We start from the raw sequence: 14,849 nt of genomic DNA, 5'->3' as shown, positions 1-14,849 counted from the left end.
CTCACTGCAACCTCTGCCTTCTGGGTTCAAGCAATTCTCATGCCTTAGCCTCTCGAGTAGCAGCTAGCATTACAGGCACGCACCATCATGCCCGCTAATTTTCGTATTTTTCATAGAGACGGTGGTTTCTGCCATGTTGGTCAGGCTGGTCTCTATCTCCTGACCTTGAGTGATTCATCCGCCTCGGCCTTCCAAAGTGCTGGGATTACAGGCGTGAGCCACCGCGCCTGGCCAAGGATATACTTTAAAAAGCCAATTACTTTACTTTGAATTCCTTTACATTTAGTGTTAAGAAAAATTCCTTTTATTGCCCGTGTTTTGTCCCAGATGGTAAGAATAAGCCCTGGTATACCAAGGCTCCCAATATTGGACCACTAGACATTCGGAGACTGGTCAGACTTGGGACAAAAACGGTCTCCTAGGTGATCATCCTAGCTGGAAGATTAGGGGACCCTTACCCCATCCTTCCTGGTAGCTTATACAAACCCTAAATGTATATGTGGCCCTAGGCAGGGGGAGGGAGCCCCAGTTACAACTGTTTTCTGTCTACCTACCGGAATAGGGGCTTAGAGTTAGAATTAAATTGGCAGGAATAATTCCCCGTACAGTACACACTGAGGTTACAAATGAATACTTGTGTTAGTCACTGGAAAGTTTTTAACACACACACACACACCCTAAAAATACAAGCATCTGAACAGTAGCCATGTCTTTGAAAAAGTACTTTTATTTTATTTTAAAACAGAGTCTCACTCTGTTACCCAGGCGGAGTGCAGTGGCATGATCTCGGCTCGCTGCAACCTCCACCTCCTGAGCTCAAGTGATTCTCCTGTCTCAGCCTCCCGAGTAGCTGGGCCTACAGGCGTGCACCACCACACCCGGCTAATTTTTGTATTTTGTAGAGACGGGGTTTCACCATGTTGGCCAGGCTGGTCTCTAACTCATGACCTCAGATGATCCGCCCGCTTGGGCCTTCCAAAGTGCTGGGATTACAAGTGTGAACCACAGCACCCAGCCTGAAAAAGTACTTTTAAAATGTTGCCTCCAATTCTTTTGCAGCTCATAAGCATGATGATTAGATTTTCATGTGCACGCGTGAGATGTGCCTCATCAAGCCTTGTTATGACCTCAGTACATCCAGATGTGCTGGAGTGCAGTGGCACAATTATAGTGCTTAGTGATCTGTGACACCTTGTCTTTAATTGCCTCAGATAAGGAGGAGTGTATGTATCACAGATATCACACTAGATAATACAAGAACTAGAACTGCAGCCTTCCACCTCAGCCACCGCCATCACCCGCTGTCCACACCCCCCCACTGCCCCAAGTAGCTGGGACCACTGGTACACTCTATCACATCTGGCTTATTTTTTGTAGAGGCGAGGTCTTACTATGTGCCCAGGCTGGCTAATTTATTTGTATTTTTGTAAAGACAGGGTCTCGCTGTGTTATTTAGGACTCATTTCTCTTAATACAATTTTGTAATTTTTTCCTATGTCTTTATTTTTGTAGAGACAGGGGCTCGCTGTGTTGCCCAGGCTGGTCTTGAACTCCTGGCCTCAAGCAATCCTCCAGCCTCAGCCTTCCAAAGTACTAGCAATACAGGATTGAGCCACCACACACGGCCTTAAGTTTTAATATAGAGTTTAGAAGTAGTCATTTAGAATTTATAATTTGATAGAACTTTTAGAGTTATCAAGTTCCATAAAGAAAACTTGAGATTTTTATTAGCATTGCCTTGAATTGATAGACCAATTTTGAAAGAACTGACAATTGCTTAGTTGTGTCTTTCATTTTGTGAATATGTAATATCTCTCCATTTATTTAGGACTCATATCTCTTAATACAATGTTGAAATTTTTCCTATATGTCTTTCATTTATATAAATATCTTGCATCTTTTATAGATTTATTCCTAAGCATTTGGTATTTGTATTACTTTTCTGTTGCTGCATAACAAGTTACAACATACCTAGTGTTTTATTTCTTCCTTTCCAATCCTTAGACTCCAGTTTCTTTTTCTGCCCTGGCTAGGATCTCCAGCACTAGGACATTCAATCCTGTGTTAAATAGAAGTGGTTATATTGGATATACTTGTCTTGTTTCCCAATGTTCAAGGAGATGACTATAAAGTTTTCCCATTTAGGATGATATCTGGGGATTTTATAGACAGTCATCCCTCAGCATACATAGGGGATTGGTACCAAGACCCCTGCATATACCAAAATCCACGCATACTCGGCCTTGGCAACTCTATTATATGAAAAGTGGGTCCTTTGTATATGCTGGTTTCTGCACCCCTCCGATACTCCCAAGTTTGGTTGAAAAAAATTCTCATATAAGTGATTCATTGATTTTTTTCCTTAAGAATTCACTTTTTACTGTAGGTCATAATTTTTTACTCTTATTTTTATTGTCTCTGTCTCATCAATTTTCACTCAATCATATTATATCTTTATTCCTGCTTTCTTTTTTGGTTATTATTTTATTTTTAACTTCTTCATTCATTAATTTTGATGTATCTTTTCTATTATAAGTATTTATGTCTATAAATTTCTCTTGAAGAACTGCTTTTGCTGAATCCTATAAGTTTTAACATGTGGTATTTTTATTTTCAGTTATTTTATAATTTTTATTATAATTTACTCTTTAACCCATGAGTTACTTAGCAGTGTTTTTAACTTCTAGCTTAACTGCCATGAGGTCATAAATTACGGTCTGTATAACACCTATTCTTTACAATTTTGAGGGTTTGTGTATAAGATTCATTTTTGTAAATGTTCCATTTGTGCTTTAAAAATGTAAATTCTCTCATTGTTAAATGCAGAACTCTATATATGTCCAGTGGGTCAAGATTATTCATTGTAAAGTTCTTATTTTCTATATCCTTGCTGATTTTTCTTCATCTGTTTGATAAAACAATCAAGTAAAGTAATTTAAATCCCTCACAATGATGTATTTCTCCACTTCTTTTATAGTTATATCACATATTCTTCATTTATTACAAGGATATCGTACAAAAGTGTCTAAAGTTGTTTTCCCTTCCTAGTAAGTTATTTAGTAACTTTCTCCATTTCTAGTGATGCTGTTTTTCCTAAAGTCTTTTAAATCTTTTTTTTAAATATTCATATAGCTATAAAACCTTTCTCTTAGTTTCTGTCTGATGAGTCTTTTTTTTTTTTTTCATTGTTTTTCTAGCATTTCACAAGCTCAAGGCTCTGTACTACCCTGATTTTAGCCTGGAGGACACCAATATAAAATGTGGGTCACTGTCTGTCCAAGGCAGTGGTGAGGGAAACAAGGGCACAATTGGAACTGTTTCTTTTCTAATTTATCTTCTCACAACCTTCCCAAGCTGCTTCCTGCCCCAGGCCCAAGACACCAACTGTTATGGTTTGAGTGTGTCCCCCAAAATTCATGTGTTGGGGACTTAATCCTCAATGCAACAGTATTGGGAAGTGGGGCCTAATGGGAGGTGCAGAGGTCATGAGGGGTTTGCCCTCATGAATGGATTCATGCTGCCATAAAAAGGGATTGCAGGAGTTGTTTCTCTCTCTTCTGCTGTTCTACCATGTGAAGACATGGTGCTCTTCCCTTTCTTGCCCTCCCATCTTCCACCAGTGGGGACACAACAAGAAGGCCCTCACCAGGCCACATGGCAGTGCCTTGATCTTGGACTTCCCAGCCTCTAGAACTGTGAGGAATACATTTTTGTTGTTTCTAAGTCAACTAGTCTCAGGTATTCTGTTACAGCAGCACAAAACATACTAAGACACCAACCCACAGACGTCAGTTTAAAACAGCACCTAGTCCCACAAACTCCACCATTGCCATGGAATCTCCAGAGGTTTCTCCCAATTTTCTCTGTTACTTGTTACTTTGTTAACATTTTACCATATTTATTACACTATTAGCTATCTATTCTTTCCTTTATCCATCCATCAGTTGATTTTGTCTTTAGACACATTTCAAAGTAAGTTGCAGACTTCACTGGTTTTAGTCTGTTTGGGCCACCATAACAAATTATCATAGACTGGTGGTTTATAAACAACAGAAATTTATTTCTCACAGTTCTTGAGGTCAGAAAGTCCAAGATCAAGGTGCCAGAAGATTTGGCCAGCTTCCTGATTCACAGATGGCTGTCTTCTCATTGTGTCTTCACATGGTGGAATCAGCAAGGGAGCCCTCTGGGTTCTCTTTTATAAGGGCACTAATCTCATTCAAGAGGGCTCCAACCTCATGACCTAATCACCACCCAGAGGCCTCATCTTCAAATACCATCACATTGGGGATTACGTTTCAACATACTGAATTTCAAAATTTCAAATTTTCAACATAAATTTGGGAGGAACACAAACATTCAGTCTATAGCACCTTCTAAACACTTCAGCATACAAATCATTAATTAGAATGTAATATTTTTGCAGTACCATTTTAAGGTAAATTTTACATACAGTGAGGTGCAGAATCTTGAGAAAACAATTTGATGAGTTCTGAAAAATGCAGAAAATACATATACCTGTGTCACCCAAATCCTTATGAAAACATAAAACATGACCATACCCTAGAAATTTCCCTCCGCCCCTGCCCATTCAATCCTCATCTGCATCCAGAGGCAACCATTCCTCTGACTTTTTTCACTGTAAATTAGTTTTGCCTGATTTAAAACATGGTGTGATTTATAAATAGAATAAATGCTGTTTTGTGTAAGGCTTTTTTCACTCAGAAAAATGACTTTCTTCATTTATTTTTTATGTTAAAAATTGCCATTTTTTCAGTTTTTATATCTCTTGCTTTTTCAAAATCTTAGAGGGAAAGCATTCAATCATATGAAGTATGCTAGTAACCATAGTTTTTGACATGCCCTTATCAGATGGAGGATATCTATCTATTTTTTGGTTTTTGAGGTTTTTTGTTATTTATTATTGATTTCTTTTTTAATTCCACCATAGTTAGAGAACATACTTTATATTATTTCAATTCTATGACATTTGTTAAGGTTTGTCTATTAAGGAAATCTTTCTGTTAAGGAAATCTATCTATGCCTAATTTGCTGAATTGATGTTGGATATTGTCAAATAATTTTCTGCATCAGTTGATGAGATCATATAGTTTTTCTTGTTTTGACTCATAACATGTTGGATTGCACTGAATGATTTGCAAATAACAAACCACCTTATATTTCTGATATGAACTCCACTTAGTTGTTGCATATTATTCTTTTTATATTGTTGGATTTGATTTTTAACATTTAGTTAAGGATTTTAAAATCTATGTTCAGGAGGGACATTGGTCTGCAGTTTTCTTTCTTTGTTTTTGACTGTTTTTGGAATTGGATTAATGCATGCCTAATAAAATAATTTGGGAAGTGTTCCTTTTTTTTCTATTTTCTGCATGAGATCATATAAAACTGGTATTTCTTCCTTAAATGTTTGGTAGAATTCTCCAGAAAAACCATCTGGGGCTTGAGATTTCTTATTTTAGAAGGTTTTAAGCTATGAATTTAATTTCTTCAATAGTTATTGTTCTGTTAGATTGTGTACTTTACCTTAGATGAGTTTACATGGTTTGTGGTTTGTGAGGATTTGGCTTTTAATCTAAGAGGGTTTCATAAAATTGACTTTTTTTTTTTTTAATTATCGCTGGAGTCTGTACTGAAATATCCTCTTTCATGTCTGATTGGTAATTTGTATCTTTTCTCCTTTTTCTTTTCAGTTTTGCTAGAGATTATCAATTATCTTTTCAAATAATTAGATTTTGGTTTAACTTTATTGTTTTTCTGCTCTTATCTGTTGTTGATTTCTGCCTTTATCTTTAATATATCATTCTTTCTGCTTGTTTTTTCTAACTTCTGAAGGTAGAAGTTTATTTATTTGAGATCTTTAAGTATTTAGAGCTCTAAAATTCCTATAAACACTGCTTTGGCCGTATCTCACAATTTTGCTATGTTGCATTTTCACATTCATTCAGCTCAAAATATTTTCTTTCTTTCTTTCTTTCTTTTTTTTTTTCTGAGACGGAGTCTTGCTCTTTCGCCCAGGCTGGAGTGCAGTGGCGCAATCTCGGCTCACTGCAACCTCTTCCTCTCTGGTTCAAGCAATTCTCCTTCCTCAGCCTCCCGAGTAGCTAGGATTACAGGTGCGTGCCACCACACCCAGCTAATTTTTGGTAAAGACGGGGTTTCACCATACTGGCCAAGCTGGTCTCGAACTCCTGACCTCAAGTGATCCACCCGCCTCAGCCTCCCAAAGTGCTGAGATTGCAGGTGTGAGCCACTGGACCCAGCTTCAGTTCAAGATATTTTCTAATTTACTTTGTGAATCCTCCTTTGACCTATGGAATTTTTAGAGGTATGTTGTTTAATTTCCAAGTATTTGGAGGTTTCGTTGTTGTTGTTGTTATTTATTATTGATTTCTTATTCAATTCCATTATGGTTAGCAAATATCTCTCTATTATTTCAATACTATTACATTTGTTAAAGTTTATTTTATAACCCAGTTTATGGTTTATCTTGGTGAATTTTCCATGTGCTTTGTATATTTGTGCATACCTATTTAGGACTATTATGACTTTATGGTGAATTTGCCTTTTTGTAATTACACAACATCTATATTTATCTCTGCTAATTTTTTACTCTAAGGTCCACTTTGTTTGATATTAATACAGTCACTTTGGCTTTCTTTGGTTTAGTGTTTCTTAGTATGTATTTTACCAACCTTTACTTTTAACCTATCCATATCATGTTTAAAGTGAGTTTCTTGCCAGGGGTGGTGGCTCACACCTGTGATCCCAGCACTTTGGGAAGCTGAGGTGGGAGGATCACTTGAGCTCAGGAGTTCGAGACCAGCGTGGCTAATATTGTGAAACCTCATCTCTACTAAAAATACCAAAATTAGCCAGGCATGGCGGAGTGCGCCTGTAATCCCAGCTACTCAGGAGGCTGAAGCAGGAGAATCCCTTGAAGTTGAGAGGTGGAGGTTGCAGTGAGCTGCAATTGTGCCACTGCACTCCAGCCTGGGTGACAGGAGCGAAACTCCATCTCAAAAAAATAAATAAAATAAAATAAAATAAAATGAGTTTCTTGTGGAGAATACACAGCTGGATCATATTTATCCATTCTGACAATCTCTTTGTTTTATTTGGTAAATTTATCCCACTTGCATCCAATGTACCTATTAATATGTTTGATTTTAAGTCTATCTTTAACATTTTTTTTATTCATTCTCTTGTTGCTCTTCCATTTTTTTCTTTTCTGCTTTAACATTTTGGGATATTCCATATTTGATTTACTTATTGTGTCTTTGAATATTCATTGAGTTTTTAATTTTAGTTTTTATATTTTTCAGTTCTCAAAATTCCATTTGGTTCTTCTTTATGTCTTCTCTTTTTTTACTGAGATGCTCTACTTTTTCCATTTGTTTCAAGGGCATTTAGTGTAGCGTTTTTATAAAAAGCTGTTTCAAAGTCTGTCAGATAATTCCAATATATAAGTCATCACAGCTTTGGCATTTGTTGATTGTCTTTTCCCAGGCAATTTGAGATTTTCCTGGTTCTTTGTATGCCAAATAAGTTTGAATTGTATCCTGGAGATTCTGAATAATAATATGCTATAAAACCTCTGGATCTTAGTTAAATCTTATGCAGAATGTTTATATTTTTGTTTTTATTGGTAATAGACCCGGTTAGGTTCAGGCCTCGATTTCTAACCCACTGCGATTCCAGTGCCTGTTCAACTGGATGCCTTTGCAATGTTATTTGAATCTTAGATCTGTACTACCAGGGACCAGTCAGGACATGGATGAATTATGTCTATTCAACTCTCAAAAGTCTTTGGCATGCCAATTAGGATCAGATCCATGCATGGGCAACTATATGGTAAGCCCGGGGGTTCAGAAATTTATGATGTCATTTTTCTAGGCCCCTTCTTCATTATGGTCTCCTAGAAAATTTTTCAGGTCCCTGGAGCTTTATTTTTTGGTTGTCCAACCAGAAAGCTTGAGCTTCAGTTACCCCCACTTCTGCATACATTTGCAATTGTACCTATGTCTGGGCTTAGTGGCAGGAGGACCACAGAAAAAAGAAAATTAAAAACTTAACGCTATTTCAGTGGTACTTTGAATTGTCATCTTCTTCACCAATCTGCCTGCGTTAATTACTTTCTAGAGTCTTCAAGCAATTCCGTGCATCCTATCTAGGTAAACCTATATTCAGGGACTATAATGTGCTTTTACTATGTTACCTAGAACCAGAAATCCCATCATATATAAACTTTAACTACCAAATACCTTAGTAATATTGTTCTATTCACTAAATATTTACTTAGAATGATCAGTTTCTTCATTGTCCATTTTTTTCTTATAACTCAAACCTGCACCTGAGATTTGCTGCTATCAAATTCATTCTTTCTAATTTCTAAATTTATTCAGAATCTCCTAAATAATTTGCTCATAGTGACCTCTCTGTTTTTGTTTTCCTAAATACATCTTATAGCTCACCTCCATTTTTGAATAATATTGTTTCAAGGTATAGAATCCTAGTTCAGAAGTTTTATTTTCTTTCAATTTATTGAAGATATAATTTTATTGTCTTCTGGATTCCCTTGTTGCAGCTGTGAAGACAGCTGGCAGTCTAATTGTCATTATTCTGAAGGTAAACTTTTAAAACTTTTCTGTGGCTATTTTACATATTTTCTCTGCTTTTCTGTAGTTTCAGTATGGTGTGTCTTAGTATGGATTTCTTTTAGTTATCCTGCCTAGTATTTGTTTAATGCTTGATCTGTAAATTGCTGAGTTTCAACAATCTGGAAAAGTCTGTCTTTTCTTTTCTTTCTTTTTCTTTTTCTCTTTTCTTTTCTATTTTTTTTGAGACAGAGTCTCACTCTGTCACCCAGGCTGGAGTGCAGTGGCACAATCTTGGCTTACTGCAACCTCCGCCTCCTGGGTTCAAGTGATTCTCCTGCCTCAGCCTCCCGAGTAGCTGGGATTACAGGTGTGGGCCACCATGCCTGGCTATTGCGTATTTTTAGCAGAGACAGGGTTTCACCATGTTGGCCAGGCTGGTCTTGAACTCCTGACCTCAAGAGATCCACCTGCCTTGGCCTCCCAAAGTGCTGGGAATATAGACATGAACCACCACACCTGGCCAGCCTTTTCTTTTCAAATATGTCCTCCTCCTCTTTCTTTTTTTCTTCTCTTCTTATTATTAGTTATATGTTAGACATTTAAATCTATTATTTATGTTTTTATAATAATCTCTTTTGTAACTTCCCTTTTTTGGGTGGCAGTCTCTCTATGATGTACTCTGGATAATTTCTTCTGACTTATCTTCCAGTTCACTAATTTTCTTTTAAACCCTGTCTACTCTATTAAAGCCATCTTATTACTCAAAGTCTAATTGGATAATCAGAATCACTAGAAGATAAATAAATAGATAGATGACAGATGATAGCTAGCTAGATTTACAGGGATTTGACCTTATGCAATTGTGGGAGCTGTTTAAAACAGTCTGTAAAGCTCTTGTCTGATATTGGAGCTTCAGAGCTGCAAGGTGGGGCCAGGCACAGCGGCTTATGCCTATAATCCCAGTACTTTGGGAGGGTGAAGTAGGAGGATTGCTGAGGCCAGGAGTTTGAAACCAGTCTGGGCAACACAGTGAGACCCCATGGGAGTGCAGTGAGCTATAATTGTGCCACTGATGAAGCAAGACTTTGTCTAAAAAACTTTTAAGACCTGCAAGGCACATATTCAGGAAGGGAAGTTGGATGTAAAGTGGGGGAGAATGAAGACAATCTAGAATCCCTGAGCATAAACCCAGAACCTGTATTAATCTGCTCTACTTTAATGACGTAGGTGTTGTGCAGGAGACTCTTGAGCCCTTTATCGTGGAACTAAAGACATGCTTGGCCCAGAATTTAGAAAATCTGAAGGAGGATCTGGGGTGAGTTATATCAGGTCTTGTTGTTGTCCCATATCAACAAGGTAAACCAGTAAACAACAATGTGCATGAGTTGCAATAGCATCTTCTGCCCCTTCACTGACCTCCTGAATGTAAAAAGCAATATGGCTGCTGTTTTACCTCCACCTCCCAAATTTTATGCAAAATCTATCTTGTGGTCCACCCTAACTAGAAATATGCAGGATAAGAATCCTGGAAAACATGGGTTAGCCTACCTAAGATGACATGTTACAAAATCACCAAGTATACACTAAGATGACATATTACAAAATCATCGAGTATACACTTATTTTTTTTTGAGACAGAGTCTTGCTCTGTCACCAGGCTGGAGTGCAGTAGCGCGATATCGGCTCACTGCAACCTCTGCCTCCCGGGTTTAAGCGATTCCCCTGCCTCAGCTTCTTGAGTAGCTGGGACTACAGGAGCCTGCCACCACGCCTGGCTAATTTTTTGTATTTCAGCAGAGATGGGGTTTCACCATGTTGGCCAGGATAGTCTCCATCTCCTGACCTCGTGATTCGCCCACCTCGGCCTCCCAAAGTGCTGGGATTACAGGCATGAGCCACTGCGCCTGGCCCAAGTATACACTTTTTAACTAGGTACCTATAAATATCTCTTTAACCCATATTTAGTTTTCAGATAAAAGCAATAGCAAAGTCATGCCTCTGCCTAACATGATGCACCAATCCCCCATTCAACCAAAAACATGCTACCCATTTTCCCAAGAAAGGATAAAAAGTCCCTTTTTCACTTTTGGGTGATGTTCATTCTTCTTTGAATTCTTTTTTTAGCTCAGTCACATGCCTCCTTTTATATCCTATAACTTAAATAGAGATATAAAGTTAACTACTATTAACATATTTTGTGTTAGATGGTAGGGGAATAGTAGAAGGGAAAATTTTAAATATATGTGTGTGTGTGTCTATGTGTGTGTAATTCCACACACATATTTCCACAAATTTATATCAAATTAAGAATGATATATTCATAAATATTGCAATCATTTTTGCTACTGGTCATGTAGTTGGGAAGCAGCATCATTCGTCTGGGGTAATTCCTTAGGTTCATTGTCTCATGCCAAGGAAATCGAGGATTCGGACACACAAGGACGGAGTTTAAGAGCAGAAGTTTAATAGGTGAAAGAAAGAGAAAAGCTGCCTCATGCAGAGGAAGGGGTCCCCAACATTTCCAGGTTCAGGGAGAGATGTGGGTGGTTTTATAGATGAGCTTGAGGAGCTGGTATCTGATTTACATAGGGTGCAAAGGATTGGTTGGACCAGGTGCGCCATTTACATGGTGCTTGAAGAAGCTAGCAACCCCACCCTAATCTTTTATTATGCAGATAGGTTTGCTACCTGGCTGGTGCCATGTTGCCTGTTCCCTGACTGTACATGTGGTGACAAAGAAAAGGGAAGATGGAGCCTCCATGTTGGATATGCCTGGCTCCTAGGTAGCCCTTTTCTATTGGCACAGCTGCCAGCATTTACCTCTGCAAGGTTCTAGCTTGCTTTTCTACGTCTGCTGCTTGATTTTTCAGGCTGCTCTTTGTTAGAAATGATTTTGGAGCTGCTTTTTTATTAAAAGGGAAACCTTACTGAGGACTCGCTTGCCCTCACTAACAGCCTAAACAATTTCTTTTAAGCTCCTGTATCAGTTGCAGCTGATATTTGTACAACTACCTTCTGCTCCTACTCTTTGCCGTGTTCTCTTTGCTCTCCCAAGCTGGTCTTGACTCCTTGCTGGGCGTGAGGCAGGAGAATAGGGTCTGGAAGCAGGGAACTTAAGGCCAATTCGTGCTGAATCAAGGAAAAACACCAAGGTCTGGGGGCAGGGAATCTGAGGCCAATTCACGCTGACTTCCCAAAGCTGGATCAAAAGGAAAACACCTGGGTCTGGGGGAAGGGATCCTAAGGCCAATTACTGTAAATATCCTAAAGCTGAACCAAAAGGAACCCCCCCTTCCCATCTCCTCACACCAGAGTAGCAAAGGATCAAAGGCTACTCTCCCTACAACTCTCCCCCATCTACCACATCTCAGATGGAAAAGGAAAGTGCCCTGGATTGGCCGAGGGCCTGGCAGGGACCATCGCTTCATCTACATAGGGCACCAATTCACCTCAGCCTTTAATTAGCCAGAGACCAAATCCTTCATCTATAAGCACCTCAAAAGGAGTACTTAAAACCCAGAAAACTTTGCAACTGGGCCCTTGAGCTGCTTGCTCTGGCCCATTCCCACCCTGTGGAGTGCTTTCTCGCTTTAATACATTCCTGCTTTTGCTGCTTCGTCCCTGTGTTTCATTCCTTTGTTACTTTGTGCGTTTTGTCTAATTCTTTGTTGAAAACACCAAGGACCACCACAACTTACACTCAAGTGCCCTCCTGATAACAGGTGGATAACCCAAACCTTCATGCCTGAAGGGTTTGGGGCACTTTCAGTGCTGCCTGTGGTGGTGGTGTTTTCTATTAACTTTAATCATAGAGCATAGGATTACTTAGTCTCCCGCCCAGGAAATCAGCTGCATCCTAGACATACTCTTCCTTAACATCATTATGTAGTCAGGATAACTTGATAGTTAGGATTAATCACCCCTGCCAATACAGTAAGCCCCTTCTTTACCTGTTAATTCACTGGCATGAGGATCCTAAGGTGGCCAAACGGCAGTCTCAACCTCAAGTTTAATGGACTCATTGTCACGCCCCTTGATGCAAACATTCCTACTTTTGGGATTAACGCTACACCGGTGGTTCTCAAGTGAGGACGATTTTGCTCCCCGCAGAGGACATTTGGCAATGTCTGGAGACATTTTGGGTTGCCACAACTGGGGAACAGCTGCTACTGACACCTAGCGGCAGAGGCCAGGGATGCTGCCAAGCTTCCTACAATGCGCAAGACCGTCCCCAATTATCCAGGCCGAAATGACAATAATGTTACGGTTGAAAAAGTCTGCTCTAAACCAGCAGAGCCCAAAGTTGTGGAGATAGGCAGCAAACATTATTCTAGGGCATCACTAGGAATAATACAGAGAGGACCTACTCCCACTTGGAAGCCTTGATTCCCAGACCCTGTGTATACTGGCTATGGGAGAAACAGCACCATGTATTGGTGATTGTTGATTTATAGCACATACTCATAAGGTATTATATCTAGCTCATACTGGAGCTGAGTTATCACAGGCCATTTCACCATTTTAACATGCCAACTGCTTTATTTTATTTTGGTAAAAGAAATATAAAATTTGCCATTTCAACTTTTTTTTTTTTTTGAGACGGAGTCTCACTCTGTTGCCCAGGCTGGAGCGCAATGGCACCATCTCGGCTCACTACAACCTCTGCCTCTCGGGTTTCAGCGATTCTCCTGCCTCAGCCTCCCGAGTAGCTGGGATTACAGGTGCCCGCCACCACGCCTGGCTAATTTTTGGATTGTTAGTAGAGACGGGGTTTCACCATGTTGGTCAGGCTGGTCTCAAACTCCTGACCTCAGATGATCCACCTGCCTTGGCCTCCCAAAGTGCTGGGATTACAGGAGTGAGCAACTGTGTCTGACCAGCCATTTTTAAGCATATAATTCATTGGCATTAGTTACATTCACATTGTTGTGCAACCATCACCATTATGTATTTCCAAACTTTCCCATCACCTCAAGCAGAAATTCTGTCACTTTTAAGCAACAATTCCGTTTCACCCTCTCTCAGTCCCTGGTAACCTCTAATCTACTGTCTGTCTCTATACAATTCCCTATTGTAGATATTTCACGTAAGTGGAATCATACAATATTTGTCCTTTTGTGCCTGGCTTATTTAACTTAGCATACAGTTTTCAAAGTTCAGCTAGTATACAAAATTCAGTTCTGACAGCATGTATCAGAGCATCATTCCTTTTTATGGATAAATAATATCCTATGTGTATATCACATTTTATCCATTAATCAGTGGATGGACACTCGGTTTGTTTCTACCTTTTGGCTATTGTGAATAATGCTGCAATTAACATGAATGTACAAATATATGTTTCAGTCCCTGTTTTCAATTCCTTTGGGTATATACCTAGGAGTGGAATTGCTGGGTCATATGATAATTTTATGTTTAGGCCATCTGCTTTATAATAATAGGGAATTTCACTTTTCTATTGCTATAGAGGACAGCAAATTGGCCTAAAACTTTGTGGTTAAAAAAACAAACATTGATCTTCTTTATTATTATTATTATTTTTTGAGATGAAGTTTTGCTCTTCTTGCCCAGGCTGGAGTGCAATGGCGCGATCTCGGCTTACTGCAAACTCCGCCTCCTGGGTTCAAGCGATTCTCGTGCCTCAGCCTCCCAAGTAACTGGGACTACAGGCATGCGCCACCACACCCAGCTAATTTTGTATTTTTAGTAGAGACGGGGTTTCACCATGTTGGCCAGGCTGGTCTCAACCTCCTGACTTGAGGTGATCCACCTGCCTCAGACTCCCAAAGTGCTGGGATTACAGGCGTGAGCCACCACACCTGGCCCAACATTGATCTTCTTATATCCTCTGTGGGTCACGAATCTGCGAGCTGCTTAGCTGGGTGGTTCTGTCCCACAGTTTCTCACGGGATTGCTGTCGAGATGTCTTCTGGCTTGCTTAGTGCTGGGAGATCTGTTTCCAAGGTACCTCACCCACATGGCTGGCTCTCCACAGGCTGCCTGAGTGATTCATGACATGGTGACTGACTTCCCTTCATGCAGATGATTCAAGAGAATAAGGCAGAAACTACAATGTCTTCTTATGACCTCAGAAATCATGCATCATCACTTTTGCCACATTGTATTTGTTAGAAATAAATAAGTAAATCCTATCCACATTAAAGAAGAGGGGACTAAATCTCCAACTTTTGCAGGGAGAAGTGTTAAGGAATTTTTGAACACATTTTA

General features: G+C 39.4%; 1 pseudogene; it reads left to right on the top strand.

Moving 5' to 3' along the window:
* Positions 1–1,047: 1,047 nt before the first annotated feature.
* LOC124906182 (uncharacterized) lies at positions 1,048–1,144 on the top strand (annotated as a pseudogene).
* The last annotated feature ends 13,705 nt before the right edge of the window (positions 1,145–14,849 follow it).

The sequence above is a fragment of the Homo sapiens genome, chromosome 2 (assembly GCF_000001405.40).
Source record: "Homo sapiens chromosome 2, GRCh38.p14 Primary Assembly".
Lineage (NCBI taxonomy): Eukaryota > Metazoa > Chordata > Mammalia > Primates > Hominidae > Homo > Homo sapiens.
The sequence above is the reverse complement of the archived record's forward strand: the minus strand, read 5'-3'. Positions and strand labels throughout refer to the sequence as shown.